Source organism: Homo sapiens, chromosome 22, assembly GCF_000001405.40.
Source record: "Homo sapiens chromosome 22, GRCh38.p14 Primary Assembly".
Lineage (NCBI taxonomy): Eukaryota > Metazoa > Chordata > Mammalia > Primates > Hominidae > Homo > Homo sapiens.
In genome coordinates this window covers 38,610,778-38,633,520 of record NC_000022.11, presented here as the reverse complement: position 1 = coordinate 38,633,520, position 22,743 = coordinate 38,610,778, and the positions used below count along the sequence as shown (strand labels likewise).

Sequence of the window (22,743 nt, the reverse complement as noted above, 5' to 3'; positions counted from 1 at the left end):
CTTCTTCTATTTTCAAATTGTCTGTAAGAAGCACATGGAGTTGTGCTTCTTGGACCCGCTGTTCCTGCACAGTTTGCCTTGACAGACTGCCTGGGCACAGCCTGAGTGTTCACAATTCATTTGCGGGGTGGAAAGCCCCCAAGGACAGACTGCTATGTTATTTAATGCCCCATTTTTGAGGTCCTATGAGGAACGTTTTCCTTCAGACTTACTACAAATAAAACTGTGCAACTCCCGGAATGGTTTCAGCCTTACAGCTGATACTGTTTCTTGCTTTTCTTTGGCTCCCAGGAAACTCAAAGCAAATTTGTGCCCCGTCTTCGAAAGGACCTTCTTCTACTCTGCTTAGGGGCCATGTCAAACTTTCACTCACCTCCTCAAATCCTCTCCTCCGTTACCTCCCCTCACTCTTGGCATCAGCTGTGCCTCTGCTTTAGAGAGTCTGGGGGCTGCCAGCAACCCTGAGCTCCACAAGGACAAAAGCCTTTCCCACCTTGCCCCATCTGGGAGTGCCTTCTCAGCTCCGCACCAGCCCTCGCCTGGGACTTCTTGGAGGAGCTGTCCACATATGCTGGCTTCATGTTCTCATCTCCATTCTCTTCATCCAGCTGTGGCCTGGGTTCCCACCCTCACCCACTGCTGAAAGTGTCCCGAGTCAATCATTAGCTTTCACCTTGTCGAATCTAAAGACTGTGTTTCTGTTGTTATTAGATGACCTCTGGTAGAACTGACCCAGAGGACAACTCCCTGCATTTTGAAGTTCTTTCCCCTTTGGTTTTGGTGGGTCATTCTCCCTCTATGCAAACAGCACTATCTTGGTGTCCCAGGCCCCTTTATCACCCATGTTCTTTGGGACCCCTCCCTTCTACTCTCTGTCGTCTCTCTCTGCACAAACCCTAGGGGGCAGGTGGACCTTGGTCATTGTCTTAGTCTCTTTGTGCTGCTATCACAGAATATCTGAGACTGGTAATTTATAAAGAACAGAGATTTATTTCTTTCAGTTCTGGAGGCTGGCAGGTTCAAGATCAAGGGGCCACATCTGGTGAGGGCCTTCGTGCTGTGTTATCCCATGGTAGAAGATGGAAGAGAGGGGGCGAAAGGACTGAAATTGCTTTTGTAACTGACCCACCTCCAGATAACCACATTAATCCATTCATGAGGGTGGAGCCCTCTAACCCAGTCACCTCTTCTTAGGCCCCAGCTTCCAACACTGTTGCACTGGGGATTAAGTTTCTAGTACATGAACTTTGGGGAACACATTCAGACCATAGCAATCATATTCCCACATGAGACCAATCACTACTTCAGAATTGTGTCACTTCCTCCAAGGCCTTCACTACACTGCAGACTCCCATATCGCTCCATCCCTCTGCCTCTATCTAACCTCAGTGCCCCTCAGGCTCTCATACCCATCCGTTCTGCTTTTCCTCCAGGGCTCGCCGTCTTGTTGAAAACACAGCTTTCCACCTGGGCATCAGCCAGTCTCCTCCCTTACCCTCATCTCTACCTCTGCGCACTCTTAGGAAGATTTAACTACCGTCTTTCCTGTGTCTCCTCCCCTTCCCACTGGCCACTGTCAAGTTCAGGCACCACAACTTCCTGTCTGGGTTACTGTGTCTTCTGCCCAGCGCTGTCTGCCTTGCAGTTCTAATCCCCTCCAGTGCGTCTTGTACACTGCCACCAGGGATCTTTCTAGAACACCAATGTCACAGTGTTCTGCCCTGTTGAAAATGTCTCAGCACCAGTACCTTTTCTCCCCCTGTCCAGTTTCAGAACCGCTCCCAGTCCCGGCACCAGGCGCCTCATAGCCTGGCTCCTGCTTGCTCTTTCGCCACCTGCACCCAGTGCTTCCACTGCACAGAAACCCCTTGGAGTACCCCACATGTGTCAAGTGCTTCCATAGCCTCTGCACACGCTTTCCCCGTCTCTGAGGAGCTCTCAGCTCTCCCTTCATCATGCAGTTATTTTCTTACATCATATTTTATTTTTGACTCGAGGGTACCTGTGCATGTGTGTGACATGAGTATATTGCATACTGGTGAGGATTGGGCTTCTAGTGAACCCATTTCCCAAATAACAAACATTGTACCAGACAAGTTATTTTTCAACCCTCGTCCTCATCATCCTCCCCCTTTTGAGAGTCCCCCGTGTCTATTGTTTCCATCTTTATGTCCACGCGTACCCAGTGTTCAGCTCCCACTTATAAGTGAGAACATGCAGTATTTTGTTTTCTGTTTCTGAGTTAGATCACTTAGGATAGTGCCTCCAGCTCCATCTATGTTGCTGCAAAGGACACGATATCATTCTTTTTTTATGGCTGCATCATCCAGTTTTTGTTTTGTTTTGTTTTTTTGAGTAAGACACTCGCTCTGTCGCCCAGGCTGGAGTAGAGTGGTGCAATCTCGGCTCACTGCAACCTCCGCCTCCCAGGTTCAAGCGATTCTCCTGCCTCAGCCTCTCAAGGGCCTGGGATTATAGATGCGCATCACCACACCTGGCTAATTTTTGTATTTTTAGTAGAGACAGGGTTTCACCACGTTGGCCAGACTGGTCTCGAACTCCTGACCTGAGGTGATCCACCTGCCTCGGCCTCCCAAAGTGTTGGGATTACAGGCGTGAGCCACTGCGCCTGGCCATCCAGTTATTTTTACTCGTAACACTGTCCCGAGACCTGAAGCGCAGATGAGATGCCCTCTCTGGGCTCCACATCCCCCTGGGATGCCTTGTCCCGGGGATCCTATCACACTGTTGTAAATGTCTCTTTATCTGTGAAACCCTGGAGGGCAGGGAGTCTATGGCATCATCTTGAGCACCTGGAGGTGCTCAATAAATATTTGTTGAAGAGCTGACATGAAATCCTTTTTGAAAGGTGGGAGGAGTGTGAATGAATAAACAATCAGTAACTAGTATACTCCTGTCAAGTGTTTCCTGAATGCCTGGCAGTGTTCTAAGCCCTAATAGGAACCACTCATCGAACCTCCACAACAGTCCTTGAGGCGGGGACCATGACCATCTCCATGTGTTTTGTGAAAGAATCGAGCACAGAGGGGTTCAGTAACTTTGCTCAAAGTCACACAGCCAATAAGTGAAAGAGCTGGATTTGAATCCAGGCAGTCTGGCACCCAAGTCTGTGCTCTTAATCACTCCACTAGACTGCCAGTCTGAAGAAACACGAGGAAAAGTGAGAAAGACAAAGCAAAGAGCGGGGCTCAGAGAGCTCCTTACGAGTGGATGAGGCTCGTTTATCCATGCATGTCGATCTTACCTGTGCGGAGGCTGCAGGGCAATGCCACCGGGTCTTTCCGTCTGCATCCCAGAGATGGCTGATGGTAAAGGAGAGGCACCTGTGTGTGAGTGCGGGTAAAGAAGAGGCACGCTTCCTGATGGTAAAGGAGAGGCACCTGTGTGTGAGTGATGGTTAAAGAAGAGGCACGCTTCCTGATGGTAAAGGAGAGGCACCTGTGTGTGAGTGATGGCAAAGAAGAGGCACGCTTCCTGATGGTAAAGGAGAGGCACCTGTGTGTGAGTGATGGTTAAAGAAGAGGCACGCTTCCTGATGGTAAAGGAGAGGCACCTGTGTGTGAGTGATGGATGGTAAAGAAGAGGCACGCTTCCTGATGGTAAAGGAGAGGCACCTGTGTGTGAGTGATGGTAAAGAAGAGGCACGCTTCCTGATGGTAAAGGAGAGGCACCTGTGTGTGAGTGATGGTAAAGAAGAGGCACGCTTCCTGATGGTAAAGGAGAGGCACCTGTGTGTGAGTGATGGTAAAGAAGAGGCACGCTTCCTGATGGTAAAGGAGAGGCACCTGTGTGTGAGTGATGGTAAAGAAGAGGCACGCTTCCTGATGGTAAAGGAGAGGCACCTGTGTGTGAGTCTGGGCCCAGGCTACTCGCTTTGGAACCTCCTGGCCCATGTAAGCTCAGGCAAGAATGCTGACCTTTCAGTCCTTACTTTCCTCTTCTATACAGTAGGATAACTGTACTACCTACCACATAGATTGTGGAAAATAAAGTGAGAGGAGGTGTTAGCCCTGGGGCAGATACAGGAAGTGTTCACTAAATGGTACATGTTATATTATTATAGTGGGAGCTTTGGAGCCAGGGCAAGGGTGAAGACCCAGTTGTATGACAACGGAAGCTACATCTCTGCTGCTCTGAGCTCACGGATAATTCCATTTTAACTTTAGAATTCCACATGCTTACTGCTAACTCAGCAGAATCTTATAGTTCAGTGGTTTATGTTTGCCCATTAACTGCGTTGGTTGATATTAGTTGCTGTTGGCTGAGTGTAGGAGGTGAGAGCTGGAGGTAGTTGGTGTGGAGCAGCTGTCCAGAGTCTAGATTTGTGGGTTCCAGTCCTGGCTCAGCCACTTGCCACTTTGGTCCTCGGTTTCCTCATCTATGAGATAATGATGTATTCCTCATAAGACTATTATAGGGGTTAAATGAGAGTATGTAAAATTACCTGGGTAGGGCCTCACTAACAGATTAGGTGGTTTTTCTGTTCATTCTAAAATACATTGACTCCAGATGGATTTTTAAAAAGATAACAACAATAATAATACTGTGAATTTTTTTTTCCAAGCATTTCTGTTCAGGTAGAGAATTAGAGAAGTTTCTCTCTTCTTCTTCTCCAAGAGCCATCTGGCTGGATAGCTTTTGGTGGATATTTCATGAGAGGTACCAGGTAAATACAAATCTGCTTGTTTCTCTGCCTTGCTTAAGTTATTTTTCTACAGAACAAATTCCATTCTCTTTGACATGAGCTACAAGCCCCTCTGATCCCATGGAGCACCCCACAGCCTCCCCTGTCACCCAGTCCCCTCCCGTCCCATGCCTCAGCCACACACCCTGTGCTTCAGCCATTGCACAATGCCCTGCGGCTCCCCCAGGCTTTAGGAGCTGGTTGCACAGCTGTCACAGGCAGGGTTGAGAGTAGACCTCAGGACTTCTGGGCCAGTGTTAGGGTGCCGTCTTCAACAGCGCTCTGCCTCTGTGTACGTGCTTTGTACATCTTATCCCCAAAAATGAACACATTATTTCATAAAGCATATGAGGCTAAATATCTTGAGAATAAGATTCTTGGAAATGAAAACAATACTGATTTAAAAATCCCAGCCCCTCAGTTGTTTCAGCAAGGGACTTTAGTAATTCCTTTTTCATTTCTATTCCTGGCAGCCAAACAAGGAGCTCCAGAATAATCTGTTTGACCGGATAGCCCAGCACTATGCCTTACTTTTGTTTCGTGTACCCAAGTCCCACTCTGAAGAGGCGCTCTTAAAAGTGAGCATCAGCCACTATCTAGAAAAAAAGTCACATTAGATTTCTGTTCATTTCTGATGCCAAGAGAATGTCTTAAACATTCTTTACATAAGGGAGTAATTAGTAAATTGTCATAATCCATACACTGACTTGCAATGCAGAAGTTACAAAAATACAGTAGAGCTATTTATACTGATCGGGAGATGCAATGATATATTTAAGTGAAAAACAAAGCAATTTGTACAACTCTATATGATATATATACCTATGAATAGAAAAAAAAAACCTGGAAAAATATTTACCAAACTCTTAGCAATGCTTATCACTGGGAAGTGAGGTTATAAGAAACTTTCCCAGCCGGGCATGGTGGCTCACACCTGTAATCCCAGCACTTTGGGAGGCCAAGGCGGGCGGATCACCTGAGGTCAGGAGTTTAAGACCAGCCTGGTCAACATGGCAAAACCCTGTCTCTACTAAAGATACAAAAATTAGCTGGGAGTGAGTGGCAGTTGCCTGTAATCCCAGCTACTCGGGAGGCTGAGGCAGGGTTCACATGAACCCGGGAGGCGGAGGTTGCAGTGAACCGAGATTGCAGCATTGCACTACAGCCTGGGCAACAGAGTGAGACTCTGCCTCAAAAAAACAAACAAACAAAAAAAAAACTTTCCCTTTCCATTTTATTATTTATTTTGAGACAGAGTCTCACTCTGTCGCCCAGGCTGGAGTGCAGTAGTATGATCTCGACTCACTGCAACTTCCAATTCCTGGGTTCAAGCAATTCTCCTGCCTCAGCCTTCCGAGTAGCTGGGATTACAGGTGCGTACCACCACACCCGGCTAATTTTTGTGTTTTTAGTAGAGACAGGGTTTCACCATGTTGGCCAGGCTGGTCTCAAACTCCTGATTTCAAGTGATCTGCCTGCCTCGGCCTCCCAAAGTGCTGGGATTACAGGCATGAGCCACTGCGCCCGGCCTCCCTTTCCATTTTATATTTTTCTGTAGTATTTAAATAAGCATATAATTTTAAAATTTAAAATGTGACTACACATATATACTTTTTATATAGGTATATATGTATGTATATATATACTAAAAGGATTGCTAGAAGAAAATATAAGTGAATACTTACATGATTTAGGGATGAGGAAGGACTTTCTTTGTTTTCTTTTCTCTAGAAACAGAGTCTGGCTTTGCTGCCAGGGTGGTGCAATCATAACTCACTGTAGCCTCAAATTCCTAGGCTTGAACTATCCCCCTACCTCAGCCTCCTGAGTAGCTAGGACTACAGGCATGCACCACCACACCTAGCTAATTTCTCTCTCTATATATAGAATATATATACGTGTATATATATATATATATATATATTTTTTTTTTTTTTTTTTTTTTTTTTTGAGACAGAGTCTCTCTGTCGCCCAGGCTGGAGTGCACGGTCGCAGCTCACTGCAACCTCTGTCCTCCTGGTTCAAGTGCTTCTCCTGCCTCAGCCTCCCAGGTAAATGGGATTACAGGCATGCACCACCACACCCAGCTATTTTTTTTTATTTTTTTTATTTTTAGTAGAGACACAGTTTCACCATGTTGGCCAGGCTGGTCTCAAACTCCTGACCTCAGGTGATCCACCCGCCTCGGCCTCCCAAAGCGTTGTGATTACAGGCGTGAGCCACCGCACCCGGCCCCATTTTACTTCTTAGATTGTGTAAATTAAAGAGTATAGCCAAGTGCAGTGGTACACACCTCTATTCCCAGCTACCGAGAAGGCTGAGGCAAGTGGATTAGAGGATCACTTCAGCCAGGAGTTCAAATCCAGCCTGGGTAACACAGTGAGAACCTTGTCTCTAAACAACAACAACAACAAAAACTATATATAAAAAAAGAAAGTCCTTCCTCATCCCCAAATCATGTAAGCCGGGTGGAAATGTTGAGAACGTTGCCTGAGCTCGGCTTGCTCCGCAGAGGCTGCCATCACTTCTCAGCAAAGCCGTGTACACCAGCTTCTGTTGCTGCTTTCCACAGTCCTGGTTCGACACGCACGAATTCAAGTCTGACATCTGTAACACAATGAGCCTGTGGATTTCAGGTGAGAGGTGACTTTTTTCCACCGGGGAAAGCGATTCTAGAAAAATGTTTTCCGCTGGCACCTAGGTATGTTATTGTTTGCTATGACACCCCTTCATGAAGGCATTCTCTCTTTTCTCTCCTTAACATTAAAGAGAGCAAAGTATGTGGTTGGAGCCCCAAGGAATACAAATTTTCCTGCTTCCTCAAAACAGTTCTGAGACATCCCTTCCTAATCCTTTTTTTTTTTTTTTTTTTGGAGATAGAGTCTCGCTCGGTCACCCAGGCTGGAGTGCAATGGTGCGATCTGGGCTCACTGCAACCTCCGCCTCCCAGGTTCAAGTGATTCTCCTGCCTCAGCCTCCTGAGTACTGGGATTACAGGCATGTACCACCATGCCCGGCTAATTTTTGTATTTGTAGTAGAGACAGGGTTTCACCATGTTGGTCAGGCTGGTCTCAACCTCCTGACCTCATAATCCGCCTGCTTCGGCCTCCCAAAGTGCTGGGATTACAGGCATGAGCCATGGCGCCTGGCCCCTAATCCCCTTTTTGTGTTCAGCTACATCTACAGGGAGTGAGGGGCCATATCCTAATAAGATAGCAAAGTTTCAACACAGCCCTGTTAGTTAACCATGTGCTGTGGGCTGCTGCACCCAGGACTCAGGGACTCAAAAGCAGTATGCGGGTTTAGATCATCCCACCCTTCTACCCTCCATGTGACCCCCCAGTGGCCAATCATGGTTCTCTCCCTCCAGCACACACAGGACCAGCTTGATGCCTGCTTTTTCTTTCTTTCTTTTTTTTTTTTTTTTGAGACGGATCTCGCTCTGTCGTCCAGGCTGGAGTGCAGTGGCACAATCTCTGCTCACTGCAACCTCAGCCTTCCGGGTTCTTGCCATTCTCCTGCCTCAGCCTCCCGAGTAGCTGGGACTATAGGTGCCCACCACTACGCCCAGCTAATTTTTTGTATTTTTAGTAGAGACGGGGTTTCACTGTGTTAGCCAGGATGGTCTTGATCTCCTGACCTCGTCATCCGCCCAACAAGGCCTCCCAAAGTGCTGGGATTACAGGCGTGAGCCACCATACCCGGCAGATGTCTGCTTTTTCAACCGCCTCCTAGTCCCCTCCCCCACCTCAACCTTGACATTTTCTAAGTTCATTAAAAGCTACCATTTATAGGAAGGTTCCTGTGTACCTGGTGCTGTGCTAAGTAAGCACTTTTAAATTTCCTATTGTGTTGGGGCTTCCTAAGATCACCCCCATGTTAGAAGATTTGCTAGAAGAACTCATAGGTCTCTGCGTTTAAGTGTAGTCTCGCTATGATTTATTACAGTAATGTAGTAAGGAAATAGAGCTGGATTATAAGGGAAAAAGGTAGAGTTTGGAGGAATCCATACGCAGACTTCCTTATGCCCCTCCCTCCCATAAGGAGTCATACAGAACCCACTCATCCCCCTACAATGAAAATCTAGCAACATGTGTGTGTTGCTTCTGCCCAGGGAAGCCCATTAGAGCTGGAGTCCTCAAAGTTTTCATTGGGATCGTCACATAGACACCTCTGTCTGTCACGTACCACAATTCCAGGAAGGCAGTGTTCAGCATAAGCCACATAGTTTCTACCAACAGTATAGGCACAACGAGCCATTCTTCTTCCGTTAAGAGAGTTTTATATTAGTGGAAGAAACTGTTTACTAGCCAGGTTCCCAGAGGCCAGCCAAGGCATCCTCGCAAGCAGGCCTTTCTAAGGATAGCAGTCTCAGGCCTGCTGTGTTAACTCTTCTGCACACCCATTTAATCTTTTTTTTTTTTTGAGATGGAGTTTTGCTCTTATTGCCCATGCTGGAGGGCAATGGCAGGATCTCTGCCTCCAGGGTGCAAGTGATTCTCCAGCCTCAGCCTCCTGAGTAGATGGGATTACAGGTGCATGCCACCATGCCCGGCTAATTTTTGTATTTTTAGTAGAGATGGGGTTTCACCATGTTGGTCAGGCTGGTCTCGAACTCCTGACCTCAGGTGATCCACCTGCCTCAGCCTCCCAAAGTGCTGGAATTACAGGCATGAGCACTGAACAAGTGTTGATTCCAGGGCTGTGCCACTCCAAAGCTGGGTCTTTGACCATTATGCCACCCTGCCTCCCATTTTCTGACTGTCTTCTCTTCTTGCCGTTGCACCTTGCTGTTCCCTTTAACGTCCAAGGCTACACCTTCTTACCCCAATTTATCCCCAGTAATAAACCCCCTGTCCACTTTGTCCAATGGAGCCAGCAGCTTTGCATAGTGGCTCAAATGTCTCAAGTAATCCTTGGAAGCATCACTGTCAAACACGTAAAGAGAAACCATTTCTGGCACTAAGCTAAGTGTGATCATGTTAAACATTTACTAAGCACCTACTGTATTTATTATGTGCCAGATCTAGAGCTCTGGAGGTATAAAGAAGAAGACCCACTCCCTGTTCTCAGGGAACTCATGGTATAGCCAGAACAGGGGACATGGAAAACAAATAACTGTGATGTCTTCACATTTGCAAAGCATGTCAGGGACTCACACACCTGTGTGTTGTGACCCTTACACCCAGCTGACACGTAGGGCAGGGTCATCATCCCCGTTTTTCAGATGAAGAAGCCAAAGCCCTCTAGAGAGGAAGTGACTCACCCAAGGCCACAAGGCTAGCATGGGACAGGGCTAACACTGGAAGCCCAGCCTCCCAGGAGCCAGCAGGGGCTCCCCAGGCCTCTTTTGCAGAAGCGTCCATTTTCACTCTTTTTTTAATTTCTTTTTAAATAGAGACGGAGTCCCACTATGTTGCCTAGGCTGGTCTCCTGGGCTCAAGCAATCCTCCCACCTTGGCTTCTCAAAGTTCTGGGATTACAGGCGTGATCCACCGCACCCGGCCCCATTCTCACTCTTGACTCCTCCCTTAGGCACCTATCCTAGCCCACAGAGCTATGACAGCTGGGACTACTCGGAACTAGACCCAGAGCGATTCCGCAGAGAAGAATTAATGTTGTACAGAAGAAGACTGACAAAGGGTAAGATAGCAGGTACAGCCTCCCGCCTTCTTTGCCACTGCCATACTCAACCACTATCTAACTGAGGGAGGAGAGGCCTTAGCATTGATGTCCTCAGGTCAAGTTCTCTCTCGGGTACCCCCAAATTAGCCACCAAAATTCTTCGTGCTTGTGGACTGTAGTGTACAACATAATTGTTGGGAGGCAGGGGATGGAATTTTGTATTGGAATAGTGGATGCCAGATAATGAGTGTCTACCTGTGTGCCATGCACTGTGCTGGGCTCTCTGCCTCTTTTTTTTTTTTTTTTTTTTTTTTTTGAGACAGTCTTGCTCTGTCACCCAGGCTGGAGTGCAGTGGTGTGATCTCGGCTTACTGCAACCTCCACCTCCCGGATTCAAGTGATTCTCCTGCCTCATCCTCCCAAGTAGCTGGGATCCCAGGCACCCACCACCACGCCCAGCTAATTTTTGTATTTTTAGTAGAGACAGGGTTTTGCCATGTTGGCCAGGCTGGTCTTGAACTCCTGACCTCAAATGATCTACCCACCTCGGCCTCCCAAAGTGCTGGGATTACAGACGTGAGCCACCATGCCTGGCCAGCCCATTTTATTTAATCCTCACGACAACCTGCTGAAGTACACACTAAATCCACTTCACGGATGAGGAAACTAAAGCTCAGAGAAGCAACTTGTCCAAGGTCAGCTTTTCTATTTCACTCAGCAGACCCATAATGAGTTCTGGGTGCCAGGCACTCTGCTCAGCACTGGGAACATGGTGGTGGAGGCAAGCCCAGTCCCTCTGTTGCAGGGCCAAGGAGCCCCAGAAATGGGGCTTCTGCCTGGAAAGGTTCATGGCTTTTTCCAGGAAGGAATTCAAGAATTCAAGGATGAGCTGGTGGTAGAACAAAGCAGCTCACCTTGACTGTTGCAGCTCTCTGACTGCTTCTGCAGAGCAGGGCTACCCCATAAGCAGTGTGTTGAGAAGAACAGCTCAGGGCCAGTTCTGCAGGCTCATTTAAACCCACTTTTAATTACAGGCAAATTAAGGGGCAGATTATTCAGAAATTTCTGGAAAAAGGGGTGGTAAATTCCAAGTCTGGTCATTGCTAGGGAATGGATAAACTGTCTTGATGCCTGGTGGGCATGTCTTAGGAAGCTAGTCTTCAATTAGGTCTGGAGTAGAGTTCCACCTCCAACCTCACCTCTTCATGATCTAGTGGGAAACTCAGGCCACACAATTGTCCTGCAGGGGATTGGGCACTGCAGTGGGGGGGATTCAGAGGGGTAAGGCAACAGCGGGAGGGGGACCCAGTCCAGCCTTGAGAAGGTCAGTACGTGGCGTTTGAGCTGAGATTTGAAGGGTGTGTTGGTCCAAGGACCTGCAGCATCAGCATCTCTCCAAATCAACTGACTCCGACTCTGCAGTTGATCAGGACTTCCAGTGATCTAGAAGCATGTTCCAGTTTGAGAAGCCCTGGTTTAGGGCACTAAGTAATAGAATACCTGAAACCCTTAGAGCAGAGCACGGTGGTGGTTATTAGCTGGAAATTATAAGCTGGCACTTATTCAGGGCCAGACACTTTTTGGTTTTTTGGAGTCTTGCTCTGTCGCCCAGGCTGGAGTGCAATGGCGCAATCTCAGCTCACTGCAACCTCCACCTCCCAGGTTCAAGCGATTCTCCTGCCTCAGCCTCCCGACATAGACACTTTTACCTGTTAGCTCTCTAAGCATTTCCATTTCCTGATCCCTTCATAGATACGATTTCCCTGTAGTCATCATGCACACTCAGGGAGTTTTTTTTTTTTTCTTGTTTTCTTTTCTTTTCTTTCTTTTTTTTTTTTTTGAGACAGAGTCTTTCTGTGTCACCCAGGCTGGAGTGCAGTGGCGTGATCTCGGCTCACAGCAACCTCTGCCTTCCAGGTTCAAGCGATTCTTGAGCCTCAGCCTCCCAAGTAGCTGGGATTACAGGCATGCTCCACCACACCAGCTAATTTTTGTATTTTTAGTACAAAAATACAGGGTGAGACAGGGTTTCACCATGTTGCCCAGGCTGGTCTCAAACTCCTGAGCTCAAGCAATCCACCCACCTTGGCCTCCCAAAGTGCTGGGATTATAGGCGTGAGCCACCATGCCCGGCCGACTCAGGGAGTTTTTTCAAAGTGAAGAAAAACCTAACCCATAAATTGCTTGAGTTTAATGACATTTTAATGAATATTAAATTTAACAGCTATGAGTTTGATAGATTGTTTCTTAAGCATTTAAGCATTTTAATTTTGCAGAGCTCTGAATTGGTTTTTCTTCTGAAACCAGTCCTTTTTTTCCTGTGGGTTGAGTGTCTGCCCTATGCACAGAGCTGTGCATACTTTTTTTTTCTTTTTTTTCTTGAGACGGAGTCTCATTATGTCACCCAGGCTGGAGTGCAGTGACGCAATCTCGGCTCACTGCAAGCTCCACCTCCCAGGATCACACTATTCTCCTGCCTCAGCCTCCCGAGTAGCTGGGACTACAGGCGCGCGCCACCATGCCCGGCTGATTTTTTGTATTTTTTTTTTTAGTAGAGACAGGGTTTCACCGTGTTAGCCAGGATGGTCTCGATCTCCTGACCTCGTGATCCGCCCGCCTCGGCCTCCCAAAGTGCTGGGATTACAGGCGTGAGCCACCGCGCCGGCCCTGTGCATACATTATTTCCTTTAATTGGTGCATTCACCCTAGAGGGAGATAGTGTTCACAGTCTAACAGGACCAGGGTTAGGTAACTTGCCCAGCAGGTGGAGTCAACAGAGAGACCCTAGATCTGGTGGGTGTCACTGTCTCCAGAAAGGAGGCTGTCTCAAGCTCCTGGGCTACAATCTTCATTGTCCCATGACAAGAGGAATTAATAACAGCTTTTCCCCTTCTATAGGGAGAGAGTTTTCTTTGTTTGCTGGTAAGAGAGCCTTCTCCCAGAAGCCAGCCCAGAGCAGGAAATTCTACCACCCTCAGGTAAGTGGGGAGGCACGGACCAGGACCCCTTTGGAGTCCCATAAGCTTCAGGAACCCTCGGTTCTTCTGGAGCATCAGTGGCCTCCGGTTAGTTGCACATCTCTGTACCCCTTGCCCAGGTCCACTCCATCTTCTAAGTGAGGAGCCCTGGGAGGCCTCCAGGTCTCCCATGGGTAAGTGGCTAAGTGGCATACTAAGGGGCATTCACAGAAATGCAGCGATTGAGAAGAGAGAGGGAAGGAACCAGGTTTTCAGTGTAGGCTGCAGTGCAAGATGCTTTTACTTATTTTTTTTTCTCCACTAATCCTCATGGCAAACCTGAAACCTAGCAGTCATCCCTGATACGTACTTTCTCCTCTGCCCTATTGATGTTCCTTCTGATGTACCTCCCAGAACCACCTGTTTCTCACTTTTCCACTCCCACCACCCTAGTTTGAGCTCCCATCACTACTGCAGTAGGCACCTAACTGGTCTCCCTCAGGTTCTCAGATACTTCTAGGGCCATCTTTTCAAAGTGCAAAGCTAAGTACATCATCCCATCACCACCTGACCCTATCCTATCCCCCGACCCTAAAAACCCTACTTCCAGGCCAGGCACAGTGACTCACGCCTATAATCCCAATACTTTGGGAGCCCAAGGCAGGCAGATCACTTGAGACCAGGAGTCCAAGACCAGTCTGGTCCACATGGTGAAACCTCGTCTCTACTAAAAATACAAAAATTAGCCAGGCTTGGTGCCATGCACCTGTAGTCCCAGCTACTCAGGAGGCTGAGGCACAAGAATTGCTTGAACCCGGGAGGCAGAGGTTGCAGAGAGCTGAGATCACACCACTGCACTGCAGCCTGGGTAACAGGGCAAGACTCTGTCTCAAAAATAAATAAATAAATAAATAAATAAGATCCTACTTCTAGCCAATAAAATGACACCCTCCACACCCCAGAATGCTTCCTCTGGCCTTTAGTAGACTGACTTGCACAGCCTTGCTCATCTGGCTCAACCCCTTCTCCAACCTCCTGGGCTCTCAGGGGTCCTGCCTCAGGGGACTTCTTTTATTTCCTTGTATACCACACTCCCTTTCTGTATGTGGCCTCTGTACCTCCTGTTCTTCTTGTCCCAGGTAAGCTCCTATCACCATTGCCATTGTCACTGTCAGCATTTCCTCCCAACCCCCAAGTCCAGAGACATTGATAGCATGCAGTTAACCAAATGCCACAAATAAAGGCTTTTTTTTTTTTTTTTCTGAAGAGCTGGAAAAAAAAATCCCAGGGCAGGGTTTAGCAAACTATGAATCAGACCTTTCACTGCCTGTTTTTGAAAATAAAGCTTTATTGGCACACAGCCATGGCCATTCATTTACTATTGTCTACAACTACCTTCACACTGAAACAGCAGAGTTGAGTACTTGCGATAGAGACTTTAGGACCTGCAAAGCCGAATATTTATCATCTGGCTTTTTGCAGAAAAAGTTTGCTAACCCCTGGTCTAGGAGATATATAGTCATCCTTCCATCTCAGTTCAGATTCTTGTAGGGAGGGAAAAAAACCTTTTATCTACCCTCTGAGGCAAAGTGTATGGAGCCCTACAAGTTAAACTGACAAAAGATAGACAGTTTAACAGGAGAAAGGCATTCAAATTTTATTTGATGTTAGTATTTTTACATGACACAGGACTTCATTGGAAGAAAGCGAAAACCTCAAGGAAGTGGCTAGGTCTGATAGTTCACATACCACCCTAACAAAGAGCAATTAATTGTGGAGATGTGACAAGACAAAGGAAAAGAGGTTTAGGCTTCTGGGGATGGTAAATTGTGGGAAGGTAAATATATGGGAGAAACTAATGGAAGATAAGGATTCTTTCAATAAGATTTCTATATGCAGATTCAAGGGGTGCCATCTCCAGTGATGAGTTGTCTCTTCTTCCTGGTACTGGAGATGGGAAGTGGGGACACCTTCACAAAGGAAAATTTATGCTCTGCTTTTAGATGGAAACTGGAATTGTAAAGAGATTTCCTGCATCTGCTGTTTTTCAATTGCCTTCAGCTCAAAATAATTCCTATGCAAAGTGGCCTATTTTGGGATGGCAGATTCTAACCCCCTTCACTCTCATCCTCAGGGTCAGCTTTCTGCCCCTCTGGGCTGGATGATGTTCCTTATTATACAGGCCAATGTCCCTTTCCTTCAGAGCACTCATGTAATTATTTGGTTATTACTCTGATCATGGCTGTTTCCCCTGCTAATCTTTTTTTTAATTGGTTTATTCTTTTAGAGACAGGGTCTCACTCTGTTGCCCAGGCCAGAGTGCTGTGGCGTCCTCCTGGATTCAAGTAATCCTACTGCCTCAACCTCCTGAGTAGCTGGAACATGTCACCATGAATTTTTAATAGAGAAGTCTTGCTATGTTGCCCAGGCTGGTCTTGAACTCCTAGCTCAAGCAATCCTCCTACTTTAGCCTCCTGAAGTGCTTCAATTATAGGTGAGCCACCAGGCCCAGCCTCCCCGCTAATCTTTAAACCCTAGGACAACATTCCCACTTCTAGTACCTGAATGCCCCATTTCTAATGACATGCTTCCTTAACAAATGGCATTGGAGGCTTAATTCATTAAGACAGCCTCCTCCGGCCGGGTGTGGAGGCTCACGCCTGTAATCCCAGCACTTTGGGAGTCCAAGGCAGGCGGATTACAAGGTCAGGAGATCGAGACCATCTTAGCTAACACGGTGAAACCCCATCTCTACTAAAAATACAAAAAATTAGCTGGGTGTGGTGGCACACACCTGTAGTCCCAGCTACTCGGGAGACTGAGGCAAGAGATTTGCTTTAACCCGGGAGGCGGAGGTTGCTGTGAGCTGAGATCGTGCCGCTGCACTCCAGCCTTGGTGACGGAGCAAGACTCTGTCTCAAAAAAAAAAAAAAAAAAAAAGTCTGTTCTCACAGGTTCAGATTCCATCTGTGTGGCCTTAGGCAAGTTATTTGACTTCCCTAAGACTTTGTTTCTATGGGTATAAAATAGATACAACAACCATGGTGCCTTCTTGCAGACATTCTGAAGACTGTGCGGCCCCACAGCTCAGAAGGGCACTCAGTGCTGCCTGGCCGCACCACTGTACTGCCCTAGCATGCCCAGATTCTCCCACCTTCGAAACACTTCCCCTGCAGCGTGTCCTTCCCCACCTGCCCTCCTCCCCAGCACCACCCAGGGAAGGTCTTCACTGAGAAATCACAAGCAGTCAGCAGGAAGGCCCGTGCCTTCCCACCACCAAGACAGCCTGCCCCCCTCTGCACCCTCGCCATCTGCCATCTCTGTGCCTATGGAGAGGTCCTGCTCCCCTCCCAGGTCAGTCCCCAGCCTGTGTTCTGAACCTTGGCCCTCAGCTTCCCAAGTAGAGATGCCCTTAGCGCCCCTCTTTCCTGCATCTTCATTTCCTCCCATTCTGTGGGGTCATTCCCATCACTGAACAGCCGTGCTTTCATCATCTCTTATCTTGACTCCACATCCCCATCTTTTGCTCCCTTTCACTCCAGAACTTATTATTTTTTTTTTTTTTTGAGATGGAGTTTCGCTCCTGTAGCCCAGGCTGGAGTGCAATGGCATGATCTTGGCTCACTGCAACCTCCACCTCCCAGGTTCAAGCGATTCTTCTGCCTCAGCCTCCCGAGTAGGTGGGATTACAGGCTTGCACCACCATGCCCAGCTAATTTTTTTTGTATTTTTAGTAGAGACGGGGTTTCACCATGTTGGCCAGGCTAGCCTCGAACTCCTGATCTCAGGCAATCCACCTGCCTCAGCCTCCCAAAGTGCTGGGATTACAGGCATGAGCCACATCCAGCCCAGAACTTCTTGAAAGATGCCTCTGTACCCCCATCTCTGCCTGGCTACTCCTGTCAGGTTCCTGCCCCCGGCAGCCACTGCAGCTGCTCTTGCCAACAGCGCGGGGACCCCACTGGCTTGGACTGAGTCACTCCTCTAACCTGTTTGGTGTGGTTGGCCACTCCCATCTTCTTGAGACGCTTTGTTCTCTTGGCTTCTTTGTTGCCAAACTTTTGACAGTGTTTTCCTTCCTCACTGGCTGACCCCTCTCCATCTTCTCTGCCAGCTCCCTGTCCTGTCAGTCTACTCTTTCCCAAGCCCCCTTCCTTACTGTATCTACATATTCTCCCTGGGTGGCCTCATTTGGTCTGGTAGCTTCAAATACCGCCCATACGCCAGTGACCCACCTTCGCCCTGGCCTCTCCCGGAACTCGTACTTGTCTATCCACCAGCCTTCTCAGCCACACCAGGAGGATTTGAGGAACCTCAATCCAGGTGAGGAAAGCACCTGACTCCTAACCCTCAGTGTCCTCTCTTGCCTGGCTGACTGCAGCAGCTGCCACCTGGGCTCCTTTCTTTTACTTGTAGCACCAACCCAGCCTCCACATAGTGACCAGAGTAACCTTTTACAGATATACATCAGATGGGGTTATTCCCTGCTTAAAACCTCCAATAACTTCTTCATTGCATTTGGAATAAAATCCAGTCTCGCTCACCTGACTTGCAGTGCCGTACAGAATCAGGCCCCCCCACTGCAGGTGCCTGGCACCCATGCCCTCCCACAGCACCAGGCACTGGACTTCCTTCTGCCTCTTGGACGTGCCAGGTCTATGCCTGGTTGGGCCTTTGCACTCGCTGTCCTCTTTGCCTGGAATCTGCTTTCCTCAGGGATCCAGAGGGGAAATCTGGTTCCTCCTTGTCCCTCAGATGCCAGGTTCACTGTCATTGCCCTAGAGAAGCTGTCCCTGACTGCCAGCCTCTGTCTTCCCATAACCTATCTCAATCTCTGTACAGTACTTATCTTCCTGTTGGGTTGATGTGTTGTTTAGAGTTTGTCTCCCTCTCTTAGAAGGTAAACTCTGTCCGGGCGCGATGGCTCAAGCCTGTAATCTTCAGCACTTTGGGAGGCCCAGGCAGGCGAATCACTTGAGGTCAGGAGTTCAAGACCAGTCTGGCCAACATGGTGAAACCCCATCTCTACTAAAAATACATAAATTAGTTGGGCGTGGCAGTGCGTGCCTATAATCCCAGCTACGGGGAGGCTGAGGCAGGATAATTGCTTGAACCAGGGGGCGGAGGTTGCAGTGAACCAAGATCGTGCCACTGCACTCCAGCCTGGGTAACATTTATTGCTGTTCTATCTCTTTTACCTCCTAGAACAGACCTAACACAAAGAAGACACTTAACAAATATTTCTGGACTTCGTGAATGAGGTCATCTATGTAAACTCTTGGCCCTGTGCTTAGCATATGACTGTGCTCTGTAAACGTCAGTTCCCAAAAAGTGCAGATGACATAGGTGCTGCAGAGGGACAGCCATCACCCAGAGACCAAGACCAAAATATTATTCAGTGTTTGGGTACTGCCTGTCACAATGGCTTGAAACAAGCGTGTGTTCTTTGTACTGAAATACATAAACTCTTCTGACAGTTATTTCAGGAACCTAGTTAAGAGATTCCATTTACTGCCCCCAAAATAGAAATAATCAAAAACTCTGGAACCTTGAGCACAGCTGAAGTTTTAATGGGCAAACCAGGATAGAGGGAGTAATTGGGTTTTGTGGTGGGGATAGAGCCTCTCTCATCAAGAGCAGACACGTTTTCCCATCTGCTCAATGAAAGAGCTGGCTGTGTTCAAAATATGCATTTCAATGGCAGTAGTCTGTCTGAGAGTCCACAATTCAGGGGAATGAGTTGCAATTACTTTCCATCTCTGGTCTCCTGTCTGCCCTTCTCTTGTTTAAGTGTTAGGGATTTGCACAGTGGAAATGCAAAAGTATCTAACCACAGAGCTGGCTTCTGCTATGAGACCCAGCTATAAATTAGGACACCCACCTATTAGAGACTGAGTCATTTGTTCATTTAATAAATATTTTTAAAGATAAAAAGTTTTAGGAAATGGAATCTGAGGGAGAAAATGATAGGGAGAGAGAAAACCAGGGAGATGAAAAGAGCAGCAGGCAGGATATTCTCTCCTGCGTCTCTTTGCACAGTAGCTCAACTCTGTGTCCCCCTTTCCCAGCTCCCCAGGTCCTAAACCTGGAGAAGTAGTATATAGTTGAGAGACCAGACTATCAAATTAGGCATGGACTAGAATCCTAGCTCTTAACCTGGCCAACATGGTGAAACCCTGTCTCTACTACAAACACAAAAATTAGATGGGCGTGGTGCCATGCACCTGTGGTCCCAGCTACTTGGGGGACTGAGGCATCTCTTGAACCCAGGAGGCAGAGGTTGCAGTGAGCTGAGATCGCACCCCTGCACTCCAGCCTGGGCAGTAGAGCGAGACCCTGTCTCAAAAAAAAGAATTCTAGCTCTCAGATGAGTCATTTCATCTCACTGAACCTCAGTTTTCTTATCAGTAAAATAGGTACCTAGAGAAATCAGTCACAATGTGGGCGTTAAATATGATCTTACATGCAAGCACTCAGCAAACAGCATAGCACAGAGTAAGAACTCAATAAACATTAGCTCTTAATCATATTATACAAGGGTGGTACCTAGAGAAACACAGCTGGAGATTAGGAAAAATGATGTCTTTGAGCCAGGAAGGCATACATTTCAGGGACTCCCAACATCCGTGAAACCCAGTTGTACACACCTTCCCCGTTATATATGTCAGGTGCAAACACATAGTATTAGGATCCTGAGCTTTGTCTCTGGGAAGATGATGAGATAGCTAGAAACTGCATTGTCAGGGTCCAAGGACATCCCTGGGCTGGGACCTTGGACCTAGATCCTTGCAGGGGGGAAAACAAACAAATTATATATATCATATATATTATAAATATATATTATATAATATATGTTATATATTATATATGATATATATTATATAATATATGTTATATATTATATATGATATATATTATATGTTATATATTATATATGATATATATTATATATGATATATAATATATGTTATAATATATGTTATATATTATATATTATATATATAATATATATACAGCATAGATATATATAATATAATATATATATATTATATATAATATATATACAGCATAGATATATAATATATAATATATATATTATATATATAATTATATATAATATATATATAATTATATATAATATATATATATAATTATATATAATATATTTACATATATATAATATATATATAAAAATATATTTCTTTGTAGAATTTTTGTAGTGCCAAAAAAAGACAGTGAAAGAAGGCCTCTGTAAGGAGGAATCATCACCAAAGTTCTCAGTTGCAAACTGTAGAATCCACTCTAGCTATTAAGCAGAAAGAAATGTATTAAAGGTGCACAGCTACCCTGGAAGAGTCTCCGTGTTAGCTTCAGAGGCCATGCTGCCAAGAATGATGGCCAAACCATACTGCCTCTGCCAAGGTGTGCTACTGTGTGCCAGTGTGACTGAGGACTGGATGTTAAAAGTTCTACTCTACTCCTTGAAAAACCAGTTGCTCCTGTCAACAGTCTCTCCAAAAACTGGAGTCCGCATACTTCCCATTTCCTCCCCATTGCTCATTTCCATCTTGAAATCTCAGGCAGGGGTGGTGCATCTGCAGGTAGAGCCTAGGTGAAATGTCTGCACCCCAGCTGCAACTTAAGTCTCTTACCTTGGGGATGGGTTTCACATATGTGGAGAAGAAAAAGCACACATGTAACAAGTAATGACCCCAGAAGATACCATTTGAGCTGAGAACCAAGAGATGAGGAGTCAGCCATTGGAAGAGTAAATGGCAGAACCTTCCAGGAAGAAGGGACAGCATGTGCAAAGGCCCTGAGGCGAAAAAAAAGAGCTCGAGTGTTCAGGAAACAGAGAAGGCCAATACTGTACCCCAGAGAGTGAGAAGAGAAGCACAAGCGAAGGCTGGGATGTTGGCAGGGCTGGATGCTGCAGAGTTGTAAGCATCATAGAAAGGAATATGAATATGGATATAATTGAAGTGCCATGATAATTCATTACATTAGGGATGACATGATGTGATTTATATTTTTTAAAGATCACACTGTCTTTTGAATATGGAGGATGTATTGGAGGGGCACAGAAGACCAGCTGGGAGGCTTCCGTATTTGTCTAAATGACAAATATGGAAGGTGGCAAGAAGCAGACAGACCTGACGCATTGGGAGATGGATCTTTCAACACTTGCTAGTGGGTTGGCTTTGGGAGTGGGGAGGAGAAGTGGGGGAAGAAAGGACGGAGTTGAAGGTTGCTTCCCAGGTGTGCGGCTTCAGCATCTGAATGGTGCCATTTACTGAGATGGACAGCGTAGGGTTTGGGTTAGTGGAAAGCTATCAAGAGTTCAACTTTGAACTTGTTAACTTTAAGATGCCTATGAAAAGTGCAAATGAAGATAGATGCCAAGTGGGTAAATATACAAGACTGGACTTTGGAGGAGAGACCTGGCTTACAGAGAGAACAATTTCTACCCAAGCCAAAATATGGGAACTAGGAGTGCACGACTACAGTGGAACCACGGGCAAAGGCACTGGGGTACAGTGCTGGCCTTTCTGGGCTTGGTGCCAGGAGACCTACATTTCCATCTAAGTGATGCACCTATCAGTTACATTGCTTGAGGCAAATCTAGGCCTCAATGTTTTTATCCACAAAATGGGCATCGCGACTGGTATTGATTCTTATAGATTCAATCTAGGGGTAGGTGATGTCCCAGAGATTGTCGTTTAGTTATGTCTTGTCAGAATACCTACTAATTTAACCAGAATTTTCCCAAGTTCAACAGCATAGATATAGTCAGTGTCCTTAACAATAAGGACTCAAGATTTTTGCAGCTCTTGCCCATACCTGCTAATTCCAGGTCTGCGCAGCTCCCTCCGCACCCAGACATTTCTAGGCATCCCTAGATTGTATCTCATAGTAGCTCAAATTTAGGCTCCCCAACCCCCAACTCTGTACAATAACAACTGAGCCCTCAGCGTGCTGAATCTGAGCAGCTGGGTGGCCAGGTGGGCTGGAACACTTCCATCTCCTCTATGCTGGGATGGGACAGGGGGTCTCAGAACAGTCTTGGTTTACCCCCAACCCTTATGGTAGTCACCTTGCCTCATACACCCCTGGGGTGGTGGCTGGTCACAACATCGGGGAATGGATAGGAAAGATTTTTTTTTTCTTTTTTCGAGACGGAGTCTTGCCCTGTCACCCAGGCTGGAGTGCAATGGCACAATCTCGGCTCACTGCAACCTCTGCCTCCCGGGTTCCAATGATTCTCCTACTTCAGCCTCCCAAGTAGCTGGGGTTACAGGTGCCTGCCACCACTCCCCGCTAATTTTTGTATTTTTAGTAGAGACAGGGTTTCACCATATTGGCCAGGCTGGTCTCAAACTCCTGACCTCGTGATTGGCCCTCCCCAGCCTCCCAAAGTGCCAGGATTGCAGGCGTGAGCCACCGCGCCGGCCCAG

General features: G+C 46.9%; 1 protein-coding gene across 18 annotated transcripts in view; it reads left to right on the top strand.

Moving 5' to 3' along the window:
* Positions 1-22,743, top strand: part of FAM227A (family with sequence similarity 227 member A) — a 78,275-nt gene that overhangs the window by 22,872 nt on the left and 32,660 nt on the right. For 11 of the 18 annotated variants that reach the window (XR_937892.2, XR_937893.2, NM_001384270.1 and 8 more), the window contains 5 exons: positions 4,586-4,687; positions 5,179-5,283; positions 7,218-7,341; positions 10,242-10,361; positions 13,230-13,309. Coding sequence is in view for 16 of the 18 variants with exons in the window: in NM_001384270.1 (NP_001371199.1) it covers positions 4,586-4,687; positions 5,179-5,283; positions 7,218-7,341; positions 10,242-10,361; positions 13,230-13,309 (531 nt within the window). In the remaining 2 variants the exon portion in view is untranslated. The remainder of the gene's footprint in view (positions 1-4,585; positions 4,688-5,178; positions 5,284-7,217; positions 7,342-10,241; positions 10,362-13,229; positions 13,310-22,743) is intronic. The other 7 variants (NM_001013647.2, NM_001291030.2, XM_006724292.3 and 4 more) reach the window with 3 other exon arrangements.